Source organism: Homo sapiens, chromosome 8, assembly GCF_000001405.40.
Source record: "Homo sapiens chromosome 8, GRCh38.p14 Primary Assembly".
NCBI lineage: Eukaryota > Metazoa > Chordata > Mammalia > Primates > Hominidae > Homo > Homo sapiens.
In genome coordinates this window covers 38,988,806-39,001,459 of record NC_000008.11, presented here as the reverse complement: position 1 = coordinate 39,001,459, position 12,654 = coordinate 38,988,806, and the positions used below count along the sequence as shown (strand labels likewise).

At 43.0% G+C, this 12,654-nt stretch overlaps 2 protein-coding genes across 13 annotated transcripts in view, besides 8 other annotated features; one reads left to right on the top strand and one right to left on the bottom strand.

Moving 5' to 3' along the window:
• ADAM9 (ADAM metallopeptidase domain 9) overlaps nucleotides 1–4,487 on the bottom strand; it is a 108,289-nt gene extending 103,802 nt beyond the window's left edge. For 6 of the 7 annotated variants that reach the window (NR_027638.2, NR_027878.2, NR_027639.2 and 3 more), the window contains exon 1: nucleotides 4,300–4,487. Coding sequence is in view for 3 of the 7 variants with exons in the window: in NM_003816.3 (NP_003807.1) it covers nucleotides 4,300–4,396 (97 nt within the window). In the remaining 4 variants the exon portion in view is untranslated. Of the gene's footprint in view, nucleotides 1–3,825; nucleotides 3,919–4,299 lie in introns of those variants that run through there. The other variant, XM_011544682.3, reaches the window with a different exon arrangement.
• Nucleotides 3,851–4,280: a silencer, noted in NCBI's record as "silent region_19140". NCBI's record gives its function as "represses an Ori minimal core promoter by ATAC-STARR-seq in GM12878 lymphoblastoid cells {active_cell/tissue: GM12878}" and the evidence as "EXISTENCE:reporter gene assay evidence [ECO:0000049][PMID:35858748]".
• Nucleotides 4,291–4,600: an enhancer, noted in NCBI's record as "active region_27275". NCBI's record gives its function as "activates an Ori minimal core promoter by ATAC-STARR-seq in GM12878 lymphoblastoid cells {active_cell/tissue: GM12878}" and the evidence as "EXISTENCE:reporter gene assay evidence [ECO:0000049][PMID:35858748]".
• TM2D2 (TM2 domain containing 2) lies at nucleotides 4,470–12,652 on the top strand. 6 transcript variants are annotated; one of them, XM_011544667.3, is made up of 4 exons: nucleotides 4,470–4,867; nucleotides 5,767–6,142; nucleotides 7,800–7,915; nucleotides 9,915–12,652. In XM_011544667.3, the coding sequence occupies exons 2-4, from the start codon at nucleotides 5,957–5,959 to the stop codon at nucleotides 10,126–10,128; spliced, it is 516 nt and encodes a 171-aa protein (XP_011542969.1). In that variant the 5' UTR covers nucleotides 4,470–4,867; nucleotides 5,767–5,956; the 3' UTR covers nucleotides 10,129–12,652. The 6 variants fall into 6 exon arrangements, with proteins under 6 accessions (XP_011542969.1, XP_006716471.1, NP_001019552.1 ...); XM_006716408.5 differs by having other exon boundaries at nucleotides 5,666–6,142; NM_001024381.2 differs by lacking the exon at nucleotides 4,470–4,867 and adding an exon at nucleotides 4,951–5,041.
• Nucleotides 4,611–4,660: an enhancer, noted in NCBI's record as "active region_27274". NCBI's record gives its function as "activates an Ori minimal core promoter by ATAC-STARR-seq in GM12878 lymphoblastoid cells {active_cell/tissue: GM12878}" and the evidence as "EXISTENCE:reporter gene assay evidence [ECO:0000049][PMID:35858748]".
• Nucleotides 4,721–4,820: an enhancer, noted in NCBI's record as "active region_27273". NCBI's record gives its function as "activates an Ori minimal core promoter by ATAC-STARR-seq in GM12878 lymphoblastoid cells {active_cell/tissue: GM12878}" and the evidence as "EXISTENCE:reporter gene assay evidence [ECO:0000049][PMID:35858748]".
• Nucleotides 4,721–5,300: a biological region, named in NCBI's record as "NANOG-H3K27ac-H3K4me1 hESC enhancer GRCh37_chr8:38853679-38854200".
• Nucleotides 4,779–5,300: an enhancer, noted in NCBI's record as "NANOG-H3K27ac-H3K4me1 hESC enhancer chr8:38853679-38854200 (GRCh37/hg19 assembly coordinates)". NCBI's record gives its function as "activates a minimal SCP1, AML or CMV promoter by ChIP-STARR-seq in naive H9 embryonic stem cells {active_cell/tissue: H9 hESC(naive)}" and the evidence as "EXISTENCE:reporter gene assay evidence [ECO:0000049][PMID:30033119]".
• Nucleotides 4,981–5,170: an enhancer, noted in NCBI's record as "active region_27272". NCBI's record gives its function as "activates an Ori minimal core promoter by ATAC-STARR-seq in GM12878 lymphoblastoid cells {active_cell/tissue: GM12878}" and the evidence as "EXISTENCE:reporter gene assay evidence [ECO:0000049][PMID:35858748]".
• Nucleotides 5,301–5,823: an enhancer, noted in NCBI's record as "NANOG-H3K27ac-H3K4me1 hESC enhancer chr8:38853156-38853678 (GRCh37/hg19 assembly coordinates)". NCBI's record gives its function as "activates a minimal SCP1, AML or CMV promoter by ChIP-STARR-seq in naive H9 embryonic stem cells {active_cell/tissue: H9 hESC(naive)}" and the evidence as "EXISTENCE:reporter gene assay evidence [ECO:0000049][PMID:30033119]".
• Nucleotides 12,653–12,654: the final 2 nt, after the last annotated feature.

Sequence of the window (12,654 nt, the reverse complement as noted above, 5' to 3'; positions counted from 1 at the left end):
TTCTTTGAGATCAAGGACGGTATCTTATTCATCATGTACTTCCTGCACTGGTACAGTACGTATTCAATAAAATATGTGTTGAATAAATAACCTCTTCTGATGGTTACAGCTAAACAAACATAGTTCTGATAGTTGTAATTATCACATATGACTTAAAGTGAACCTTACTTTTTATGATTAACATCTTTTGTATCAACTTTTCTACAAATCTACATAGCCTACACATTTGTCATTTTGATAGCAAAATCGTATTTCATTGTATTGCTATCCACAGACTGCTTAATCACTTCTCTTAAGTGGCTGGGATGGGAGGTTAGGCCCAAGATATCTTCACAACAGGATTCTCAGCCTTTCAATAAGACTGATTAGAATCAGGCTCTCCTGGGGTCTACTCATATGAAGATTCTACACTACTAGAAGGAAGACGTTAAAATCATCCTAAAATGACTTAAATCATGAAAAATCTCATTAAAAGAACAATTCATCAAAGGGAACGTCCCATTCCCTTTGAGTTCTGCCCTACATTATAACATGTCTGGGGGTGATATCATTTTCTTTTCTTCCAGTAAGGTTTAGTAACACAATACTTACATTACCATAAACATAAATAAATACAAACAGAACTGCATATTTTAAAACGGACCAAGTTAATTTCTAAGGTTCCCTAGCTCACTCTTAAAAGATGTGATTTAAGGCCAGGTGTGGTGGTTCACACCTGTAATCCCAGCACTTTGGGAGGCTGATGCAGGAGGAACACTTGAGCCCAGGAGTTCGAGACCAGCCTGGGCAACAGAGCAAGATTGCCTCTCCACACACAAAAAAAGTTTTTAATTAGCCAAGCATGGTGACACACCCCTGCAGTCCCAGCTACTCAGGAGGCTTAGGCAGGAGGATTGCTTCAGCCCAGGAATTCGAGGTTACAGTGATCTATGACTGTTCCACTGCACTCCAGCCTGGGCAACAGAGCAAGACCCTGTCTCTCAGAAAGAAAAAAAAAAGATGTGACTCAAGCAGTGTCCCACATATGATCACTTAGGGAAAATAATCTGATTAAAATAACAACATGAAATGGAAAATAAACTACAATAATCTCTCAATATACAAACAACATTGTGCTACCCAACTTTAGTTGGGTCCACATTAGACCCATTCAAAGACTGTGAGAGAGGCTGGGGCGCGGTGGCTCATGCCTGTAGTCTCAGCGCTTTGGGAGGCTGAGGTGGGCGGATCACGAGGTCAGGAGGTCGAGACCATCCTGGCTAATACCGTGAAACTCCATCTCTACTAAAAATACAAAAAACTAGCCAGGCATAAGGCTGAGGCAGGAGAATTGCTTGAACTCGGGAGGTGAAGGTTGCAGTGGGCCGAGATCGTGCCACTGCACTCCAGCCTGGGCGACACAGCAAGACTCCATCTCAAAAAAAAAAAGACTGTGAGGGATTAGCTACTGAGATACAAAAGGACTGCATTCATTTATGAGGCAGTTCCATAGCGCTGACTCAAAAGGATGGCATGACTCCAAGCCTCCAGTATATGTTACATACCAAAAAGGAAAAAGAAATATGAGGCTATGTCATATGTTTGAGCTTGCGGATATTCCCAAGAAAAAGCTTCCAGTTACTTAGAGCTTGCATCTTTTGGGGGATTCCATAATAAATTCTATTATAAACCCAGATTTTTTACAAAGAGCAAATATAAATTTGGTAAGTTAAAGCTTCAAGTGCTTTTTGAAAACTGTCTTGGAAACCAGGAACTAGGTTTGTACATATTTTAATTATATATGCTTTCTTTTTTACTTAAAAGGTTGAAAACCAAATCATTCTTAAATGTAAAAGGCTACATTCTCCTATCGGCACAAACACAAACATATCAAATTCAAATATTTTGCTGGCATCTGAAAACGAGATTAGTATGGACCTAAGTTCTTACTACACAAATGATTTTACAGTGACTCACCATGAGTAAGCTTTCAAAGTCATTTTCTTTAGAATGCCAGTCTTTGTTTAAAAAAAAATTCTAAATCTGTTCCTCATAATTACTACCTTAGAAAATCAGAAGAGGTTTCATACCTGATTCCGCTTATTTTTTACAATGACACAGTTACCTTTGTCAGTTTAAAAAAAAAAAAAAAGTTTACTGAAAGTTAGCTGTTTGGAAATTATACTGCATTTCCTCATTGAGACAATGTTATAAAAGGTAGTAAAAATCCTATAAAACCTAATTAACTCCTAATGTAACTGACGTGTGCCTGGTACCTCAAATTCCTCTTTCGATCCTGGAAAATGTTTCAGTGCACGTTTTAAACACCTTATACTGCAAAAATGTGGTCAGCTGATTTTGTATGAACGTTCCCCGAGAGAAACAAGAGTTGACTCACTGCACACTATTACAAAAGCCTCTTAACCGGTGTCCCAGCCTCTAGTCTCTCCCTCCTAGATTCTATCCTCCACCGTGTTGCCCGTTTTCTTAACAGAAAATGAGATTAGGTCGCACCCCTACTTAAAACCTCCACTGCCCAAAGAACTTCCTACGGGGTGAAGTCCAAACCCCTTAGTTCAGCATAGAAGACTCTTCCCAACTGGTAACAACCTACCTTAGTTTGATCTTCCATCCCTCCCTTTTATAGTCTGCATGAAGACATATTGACATTTTTATCATTTCCTAAAAAGTCATGTTCTTTCATACGCCCCCCGCCCCACCATACTCTTGCAAAAACTTTCCTCTGCTTAGAATGTATCTACTATTCTACTTGAAAAATCACCGATGTAGCCCAGTTCAAATATTATTTTCTCTAAAAATCTTCCCCAACATCTCTCAGATGCGCTTAGCATATTTGGTCACCTTCTGCCCCTCTACAATCAACTGTGTGGTGTTTATAGGAGTTCCATAAACGGTGGCTAAACTTTGAAGGGGCATACACATGCCGAAGTGAGGAGCTGGCCAAAACCACAGTTAAAGACCATCAGGATATTCCACTCACCTAATGCAGGTCGGTAATGACTGACAATTTATATTAACATTTAAAAATACAGTCTTATTTACATTTACAAACACAAAAAAAAATCACAGATTAATAAAACTCCGGATGTATAATCGTCTTCACCTTAAACATCGGTGAGTGTTAACCATCTAGAATACCACCGGAAAAGTAGTTTTAACCAGAAGAAATTTGGCAACTTCCCATTCAAAACATTGTCAGAGTTTCAACATTTCCACACTGGGGCAAATTTACTTAATTTCAAATAAAGCAGCCAAAGATAAGAAAAACAAGTAATTAGTTTCCTGAAGGTCAACAGTCCTGCGTTGAAATCTTCTATCATCACCTTTGAATAACTTTCAATCAATGATTTAGTAAAAACTCCCATTCTCCATCATCCTCTGTCGCTGATAGAGAAAATACAGCCATGCAAACAATTATATCATACAAAATCCAAAATAAACAACTTGTTTCCAGAAAGACGCCAGCGTGCTGACAATCTGCTTCCACTATGTTTGGGCATCTCCAATACAAGTATCTTACATAGTCAAGGGCAGTTTCACAATTCAAAAACGATTTCACACAAATGATTTAATTCCTACAATAATCCTGTGAGTTCAAAAGAGCAGGGATTATCTGTCCGGATTTAACACAGTACGAACCCAATAAAAACACAGATTTTTTAAGAATGGTTTGGCTATAGAAAGGTAGCACATCGTTTACAAAATATTCTTACTACAAAAATGACCCAAGAGAAATGAGCGTCCTCCCACCCACCTTTATTCCACCATTAAATTTAGCTGTGTTGACCCAAGGATACCATGAACGTCAAAATTTCAAATTATAACCTGCAGCAAAAGTTTCATCTCTCAGTCTCTTTCCAAGCGACATTAACTCCACGAGCGAGAGCCAGCTCCCTCCCTGCAGGCGTTTGGAGGACTGAACGCCCGCGGGCGCGCCCAGCCTGCAGGGCTCCGGCCCGCCGAGGTCAGCGCCCGCCCCAGAGCGGGTTTCGGGGCGTCTGGGGGACCCGGGGTCGCGCGAGGCGGCGAGGGATGGGGGGACGCTGGGAACGGCTCCATCGAACAGGACACGGAGGAAGCGGTGCCGGGCAGAGGACCCGGGCCAAGAAGGGCTTGGGGCGCCAAACCCCGCGCCTCGGGTGCGACCCCGGTCCGCACACACCTGGAGCGGCCGCGCCCCCCGACCCCGGGTCCGATCCCCAGGCCGGGCCCCTCCACTCCCAGGCACCACAGGTTCACTCCGAGCGCCCCGTCCCTAGGAAGCAGCCGTCCCAACCGACCCGGGGCGCGGACACCCACCTGGCCGCGCCGCACCGAGGACTGGGCCCACCAGGCCAAGCAACAGCAACCACCGGACACGAAGGGTCCCCGAGGGAAAGCGCGCGCCAGACCCCATCTCGGCCGATTCCGCAGGTTCCTCTCAGCACTCGGTCGCCTCCACCTCCGCCTCTTCCATCATTTTCCAACCCTGCCGGGGCCCCAAGTCTGGCCGGGAAGCGCGCGCGCCCGACGAGCACGCGCGCCCGACGAGCACGCGCGCGGCACTGACGCAACTGAGCCCTCGGTCCGAGCTCGCTCCCGACATCGCCTAGCTGCGCTGACGTAGGGAAAAATCCAGTCCCCGGCGCGAGAATAGGATTTCTAAACCGGCGGTGGCAACCAGCACTAGTCGGCCCGCCAGTCATATCCGCCCCGCCCCGTCGGCTGCCGGGCACGCCCACCTAGGGGGGTCGACGGATCCGATTGGAGAACGCATTCGGCGCAAAAGAAGGAGGAGCATGAGACCCAGAAGAGGAATCGAGAAGCAGAAGCAGAGGGCGGAGTAGCCCCGCCCGTCTGCTCGACCTTTTCTAGTTGGTTGGCGGAGGTGCGCGGAGCGTCGAGCTGCGCGTCCATTGGCTGTTTGGCGGGGCTACGCGGGCGGGGCTACGCGGAAAGGCCTGACCACGCAGTTCTTGGGTCTGTGCTGCTGGCCTGGGGTTGTGGTTGAGGCCGGGTCTCCGCTCCTGTGCCCGGGAAGATGGTGCTAGGTGGTTGCCCGGTTAGTTACTTACTTCTGTGCGGCCAGGCGGCTTTGCTGCTGGGGAATTTACTTCTGCTGCATTGTGTGTCTCGGAGCCACTCGCAAAATGCGACCGCTGAGCCTGAGCTCACATCCGCTGGCGCCGCCCAGCCGGAGGGCCCCGGGGGTGCTGCGAGCTGGGAATATGGCGACCCCCACTCTCCGGTCATCCTCTGCTCTTACCTGTAAGCTACCAGTGGTCGAGGCGGGTGGACGTGGAGGGTGTGCCAGGAATATATGGGTGTTAAGGGAAGGCAGGGTTGGGGGGACGCTGCATTTTTTCAGACCCTGCCTCTCTGAGGTCGTTCCGGAGGCAAATATCATGAACCAGGTTTCTCACAGCCCGTGCAGAGAAAACTCTTGTGTGTCAGTGACAGAGGCTTTGAGATCCCCAAAGAGGAAAACTGGGTAGGAGTAACATCATATAGCCTCTGGAAGAAGGGCGTAAGGTTGTGCTTTCTTTGCCCTGCGCCCTTTAGCCCAAGGAGAGTATTAGTCGGTCGATTCGGTGCCAGTACTGAGTAAGGCATAAATGGAGTAAATGACTTGTCTCTGCCTACAAGGCATCTTTTAAAAAAGCAATCAATATTCTTACCGTTGCAGAATCACGCCATTTTTTAACATCTCTTTTTGATCAAACAAGAAAAGGCATTTGGGAAATGCAAAGAGGACTGAGAATACTTTGGCTTAAATTTTGCCCCCAGAATCTTGTTGTTTGCCTACTGAAGAGATGAAACCATGGCAGAAGTAGAATCCTTATAGAAACAGGACCAGAAACACCTCCCTTCTCCAACAAAAGGTTCATTTTGGTGGCTGTCCGTTTGACCTGCTGTGCTTCAGTTTAATTGGCTTGGAAAGGGGTCAGCAGGGTGAAACCGAACCCCAGAAAACTTGATGAAGAAATGTCTTTTGCCCGTTTTGATTACGTGCATGCAAACAGCGATTTGCAAAGACCGTATGATGATGATCATGATCTTACTGGTGAATTACAGACCTGATGAATTTATAGAATGTGAAGACCCAGTGGATCATGTTGGAAATGCAACTGCATCCCAGGAACTTGGTTATGGTTGTCTCAAGGTGAGTTTTTGTTTTGTCGTAAGAGCAAACCCTTCGATAACGAAATAGGAATGTCTGAATGCTATTACATAAAAGTATAAGAGGTACAAAGTTTTTTGAAGAATTTCCTCAGAAAGACCGTTACTGGAAATTTCCAGTATGGCCAGGGTCAGTGACTGAACAAGATATTTGGTTTCCTTATGAAGGAGCAATCTCTGTGCTAAAACCACCCAGGTGCAAAGACCAACCTGTCTTTGGTTCCTTTGGCCACTGACAGATTTTGAAACTAAAATGTCACCCCTGACTCTCCTTCAAGGCATGAACCTTTCCTGAAAGAGCAAAAGGAAGTCTGTGCACTTTGCAACACTGGTGATGGATTGGGCAGTATCTTTGTTACACATGCATTTGGGGCAGAGCTTTTCTTGCCAATGACATTTCTTTTCTCCAGGCAAACAGGTTCCACCATGTCCGTAGGAGACAGATAGAGTCTACCGGTATATGTCTTTGTAGGACATTAAAGCGTTCCAGCGGAAGCCATTGGTTAACAGTGGCTTCTTGGAATGGAAAAACGCTATTAAGGTTTATTAGTAATATCCCTAAAGCTGAGTGTACAGTTCCTAATCAATCTCTCAAAATAACCAATGAAGTTCATGTATCTCCTCCCCACCATGGACTCGCCATCCTATTATGCCACATAATGCAAGTCAAGATTTGGTCAGATGTTAAGAGAATGATGGGAAGGCATGTTTTGTACTAAATCAGACACAGAGGAATAAACCTGACAGTAATAAGACTAAAAGGGCAACTCTTACTGAAATCATGTATAGATAAATATTTAAGACAATGAAATTTTACTCTGTTGATAATTATTGATTAAAGTTTGAGTTAATATTGTATAGAGATCACTTTTGCCCATTTTAATTAAAAATTGAGTTTATCCTGTAAGCATTCTTATTTCCCAGTCCCTTCCCTTTGAGGAACTCGCCAATGAAAATAGTAATAAGCACTGATATAAGGTACCAGTAAAAAATGAATATCTGTGATTTCTTGGCTAGAATTCAGTTAAGCAATGGTAAGAGGCCCAGTTCTGAAATTTTTGGCTGGAATTTAAACTTAACAGGTGTCCCACAGATATCAGGTAATACACATTTATGACCTAAATAAAGTCCTGAGTCAGATAATATCCTGAGTTCTTTCCTAATTCTATTCATTTTTAATAGATATAAAAGAGACCTCTAATAGGCAGTGACTTTTTAAATACCCACTCCCAAATGCTCAGTTATATGCTCTTTTTCCTGTAAATATGTATAAGCTTATACATATAAATATGTATAAGCATATACATATGCTTATAAGTAAAGATAAGTAAAGCATTGTGTTCATCTCTTCTAAATGGCCTTTAATGACACTGAGTGTGTTTGGGGGTTTTTTTTACTATATTATTGAAGAAGCCAGTCATGAAGAAGAAAGCAGGAGTTTATTTAAGACAGTGTACCTTTAAGATGGACTCAGAAGTGTGTCACTAAATTCCTTGCCCTTGAGCACAGCTGTACCTCAACCTTGTTGGAATAATTGTAGTCCTGAGGCCGCTTTCATTCTGTTATTAGTGAATATAAAGATAGATGTTTGTGTCACTTGCTCTGGTGAGTTGGTTTTGGTCTTGGTTGTTATTCCACAGTTCGGCGGTCAGGCCTACAGCGACGTGGAACACACTTCAGTCCAGTGCCATGCCTTAGATGGAATTGAGTGTGCCAGTCCTAGGACCTTTCTACGAGAAAATAAACCTTGTATAAAGTAAGTGTTACTTTGATTGGAGTAGTTGGTACTTGGTTGGAGGTAGAGCCATTTTCCTTGTCTTTTTATTTATTTATTTTTTGTTTTAAGAGACAGGGTCTCACTCTGTTACCCAGGCTGGAGTGCAGTGGTGCAATCATGGCTTATCGCAGCCTGGACCTCCTGAGCTGAAGCAATCCTCCTGCCTCAGCCTCCCGAGTATCTGGGACAACAGGCACATGCCACTGTGTTCAGCTCATTGTTATTTTTTGATATGACTTTTTTTAAGCACCAAAGAGGGTCTATGGCTACCATTGTGCATAATTCATTGACAGAAGCAATATGTTTATAGTAGAGAGGACTCTGGACTTAAGCCCGGAAGGTGAAGTTCTAACTGTCTCTTTCTCTAACTTGCTAAGTGCCTGTGGGCACTCAGTTTATCCCTTATCTACAGAATTTTGGGCCAGATGATCTAGCCCCAAAATTCCTACAATAGATATAAATCTTGTGCAAATTGCCCTAGTATTTCAGGAATAAAGGTTTTATTATAAAAAGTGTAGGCTCCACACTCTGAAAATCAGTTTATCATTAAGGTAAAGGAAGGCACAGAATTTCCTTGTACAGTTTGCTAATGGAAACAGTCTATGAGTATGATTAGTAATATTAGGGTAACTGCAGCTGTGTCAGCACAGTGGATAAGGGCAGAGCCTTATGAAGAAGTCCTCGCTTTTCGCTGCTCAAAACAACAGGAAAGAGTGTATGGAGATCAAGTGTTCATTTAAGAACAGTGCTTCCTTAGAGAACTACATGCAGGAAGCCAGCTGAGTCTCAGGAAAAGAGCCTCTACAGAGGAGGATGGGAGCCCAGACTCCTACTCCTACCATGGTGCCTGTTGTGCAAATGTGCTTGATGACTTCTTGTCCAATCCAACTCTGCAAAAGTCAGTATTTGTTCTTAGAGATGCTCCATATCTTAGCAAGTATTCTGTTGAGACCCTCTACCAACTAGAGATTCTTAGAGGAGAGTAAAGTAAAGGTGAAGAGGGTGTATTATAAAAAAATGCGTATTTTTTTTTTTTTGGAGATGGGGTCTTGTTCCATTGCCCAGGCTGGAGTGTAATGGCACAAACAGACAAACAGGGCTCACTGCAGCCTCGACCTCCTGGGCTCAAGCGATCCTCCTACCTCAGCCTCCCGAGTAACTAGGACTACAGGTGTGCTCCACCACACCTGGCCTTTTTTTTTTTTTTTTTTTTTTTTTTTGGTAGAAACAGGGTCTCGCTATGTTGCCTAGGTTGGCCTGGAGCACCTGGGCTCAAGTGGTCCTCTCATCTTGGCCTCCCAAAGTGCCGGGATTATAGGCATCAGCCACCACCATGGTCAAAAAGTTTTTTAAATTATTGTACATTATGATGTTTGACATCTTAAAAACCTTTCTGGCTGTGAAGAGACTGCTCTTCCTGAAGCTAGTCATTTCTTAGAGATAGCAAAGGGCCCAACCAGCAGCATGCCTTTGATATGCAAACTAGTCTAGAGACATATCTTCTGTTTCTGGCCTGTACACCCCAGGAAATAATATTCCTCTGCCTTAGTCTTCTCAGGTCCAAGTGCCAGGCAACCAGGGACCACTCCTATAGCTTAGAGCCTGCTGAGGTTATTCAAACTAGCCAGTTCTAAACTATTCGCCCTGCCCTGTCTTGCCTTTCCTGCAGAAACCCCAATGAAGATAGTGGCCAAAAACCTTCCCCTCCCTTCTATCTTCCAACCACCCTGGTATCTTTGCCAGGTAGCCTTGTATAACATGATGTGCCTCCTGTCTCTGGGACCTATGAGTATAATAAACTTTGGTTTTTCCTGATCCTCTCACCTCACTGACCATATCATAAAAGAAAACAAAATGGAGGGTAAAAGGCCACAGAGGGTCCACTGCACTGTCTCATCACTTACGTTAAATTCACTAATCCTTAAGGGTTTAAATTTTCGTGCAGTAAAACATCTTCCTTTTCATTCCTTTCACCTAGGTATACCGGACACTACTTCATAACCACTTTACTCTACTCCTTCTTCCTGGGATGTTTTGGTGTGGATCGATTCTGTTTGGGACACACTGGCACTGCAGTAGGGAAGCTGTTGACGCTTGGAGGACTTGGGATTTGGTGGTTTGTTGACCTTATTTTGCTAATTACTGGAGGGCTGATGCCAAGTGATGGCAGCAACTGGTGCACTGTTTACTAAGAAGAGCTGCCATCATGGCCCAGGGAGGCGGGTGAAAGCTCCGTCTTCTGAATTCATCTCTACAGGCTCAAAACTCCTCTTTGATATCAGACCTGATGTTATTTTCCTTCTTTTGGAGGGCATTTGTTTGGTTAAGAAGGCTTCTTTGGACTTTGGAATTTCAACCCAGATTTTACCTTGCAGACGGAATGACAAGCAAAAAGTGTTGTGGGGAATCAAATTTGTTCCTTTCCTCATGCACAAAACATAAAGGATAGTGGCGAGTTTACAAGCTGTGGATGGGTTTCCATAGTCTTCCTTTCTGTACATTGCTATATCTTCAGTCCTTTGGAGCAAGTGGACCTAACAAGTTGAGCAAAATGAATATTTGGATCCATGTTCCTCTTGTGACCCTGAGTCTTCATGCAAGGAGATCTGAAGCTGAACAATGAAAATCTTCAGCAGAAATAGAAATGGCCGTGGATTGTAATACACACTGAAATTCTGACTTTCTGAATTTAAATGTAGAATAAATTTTACCAACTTGGAGTACTGTATGAGTATTTTCAGTAGGGGGAATAAACTCAAAATTATATTTGTTTTGCAGAAACCTAGTCATTTGAAATGAGCCATCCTATTAAGCCCTCTTTTGTCTCCATTATGTTCCAGAGGCAGTATATGCAGTGCAATAATTTTTTCATTCCACTTATGTTTTGAAAGCCAGCGGCATCAGATGTGTGAGTTGAGCTATTCCTCCTGGCAGAATTGTCCAATCTAAAAATCAGCGTTTACCAGCCCATGCTAATAAAATTAAGATTTCATACAAGTTTCTGTAAAACTATTCTTCATGATTAGCTCTCCCTGTGGGCTGCAGCAGTCAGAAAGAGATAACAGCCACACCTCTGCATTCCCCGGTCACCAGGAATAAAAGGAAATGTTCCAGATTGTAAGTGGTTTTAAAAACTCAGTTCTCATCGTTTGCAATCTAAGTTGAAAGAACTATTAAATATAAAATCAAAGGTGGGCAATGTGGCCAAGTCAATGGAAGAGGCTTTACTCAGAATAACTTACAAATTCTAGAAACAAGGTAGAACTCACTCAGTTTACCTAATAATAATTGAATTTAAGACCAAATATCACAGTTGAAATAACTTCCCTGGATACATTCTATCATTTTGTAGCTTTCCTAAGAATTTCTTGCTTTATCATTCCTGATTAATCACTGTTTTTACATTATTAAAGGTGGCAATTTTCTGTAAAAAATTTAAAACAGATGATCCTATTCTGTCTTGAAAGTTCTGTACCACACTGACCTTAACCTTGCTTATAACATAACAATTGGTAAACTTTTAATTCATAATCTTTATACCCTAAGATAGTATTTATTAAATTTTTATGGGTCATGAAGAAACTAGACCCTCTCCCCAGAAAAATCTACATACACAGAATTTACATAGAACTTGGGTTCATCTACACAATTTATGCATGAAATAAAATTGTACTGGTACCCTATAAATTTATACAAATAAAAGAGTTTAAGGGAGTTCAAGGATGCCATATGTATATTTTAAAAAAATTTCTAAGGGAAGTCTAAAAAACATAAATTATAATATTACCCAAAATAAGATGCTACTTTTCACCTAACCAAGTCCTGCCTCATTTCACACTTTAACCTCCTAAGTATATTCATAACCCTACCAAAAGTTGTTTTCTTTAAAAAATAAGAAACTTTAGGGCCAGCGCAATGGTGCAAGCCTGTAATCCCTGCACTTTGGGAGGCCGAGGCAGGTGAATCCTTTAAGGTCAGGAGTTCGAGACCAGCCTGGCCAACATGGTGAGACACACTCCCCCACCCCCGCCCAGTCTCTAGTAAAAATGCAAAAATTAGCCGGGCGTGGTGGCGTGCACCTGTAATCCCAGCTACTCGGGAGGCTGAGGTAAGAGAATCACTTGAACTGAGGAGGCAGAGATTGCAGTGAGCCGAGATCCTGCCACTGCACTTCAGCCTGGGCAACAGAGTGAGACTCTGACCAAAAAAGAAATTTTGCAGCTCCAAGGCTTGAAGTCATTTATGTTGCCAGGGGTAAGAGCTTGGTTGAAGGGCTAAAAGACTAGAAACTACTGAAGATGCCCTTCTTACTGTCAGTAAAGCTGCTGGAGACAAAAGAAGTTGTTCTCGCTGCTAGAGTGGTAATTTGAGAATCATCAGTATTCCTATGTGACAATCCAAAATTACTGGTTTTCATTTGACTTGTAAATGACACCCATCATCCATCTGCCCACAAACCTGGCCAAATGTGATACAACCTGAAAACCTGATGGACTAAAGGAGTACTATTTAACAATTGATTGCCTTTGCACTTTATTCAGGTTGTTTCTTAAATTTTGGTAGACAGATCCATTTGTATATGTGTGTGTTATATCTAGTTTATGGCTATAGAGAAGGTTTAAAATACTACAGTGTCCTTCCCTCAAGGTTAAATTAGAAGCTGCCTGCCTTTTAGTTGTTTCTTGCCTTTAATAAAATGTTATCAGTTCCCCCAGATT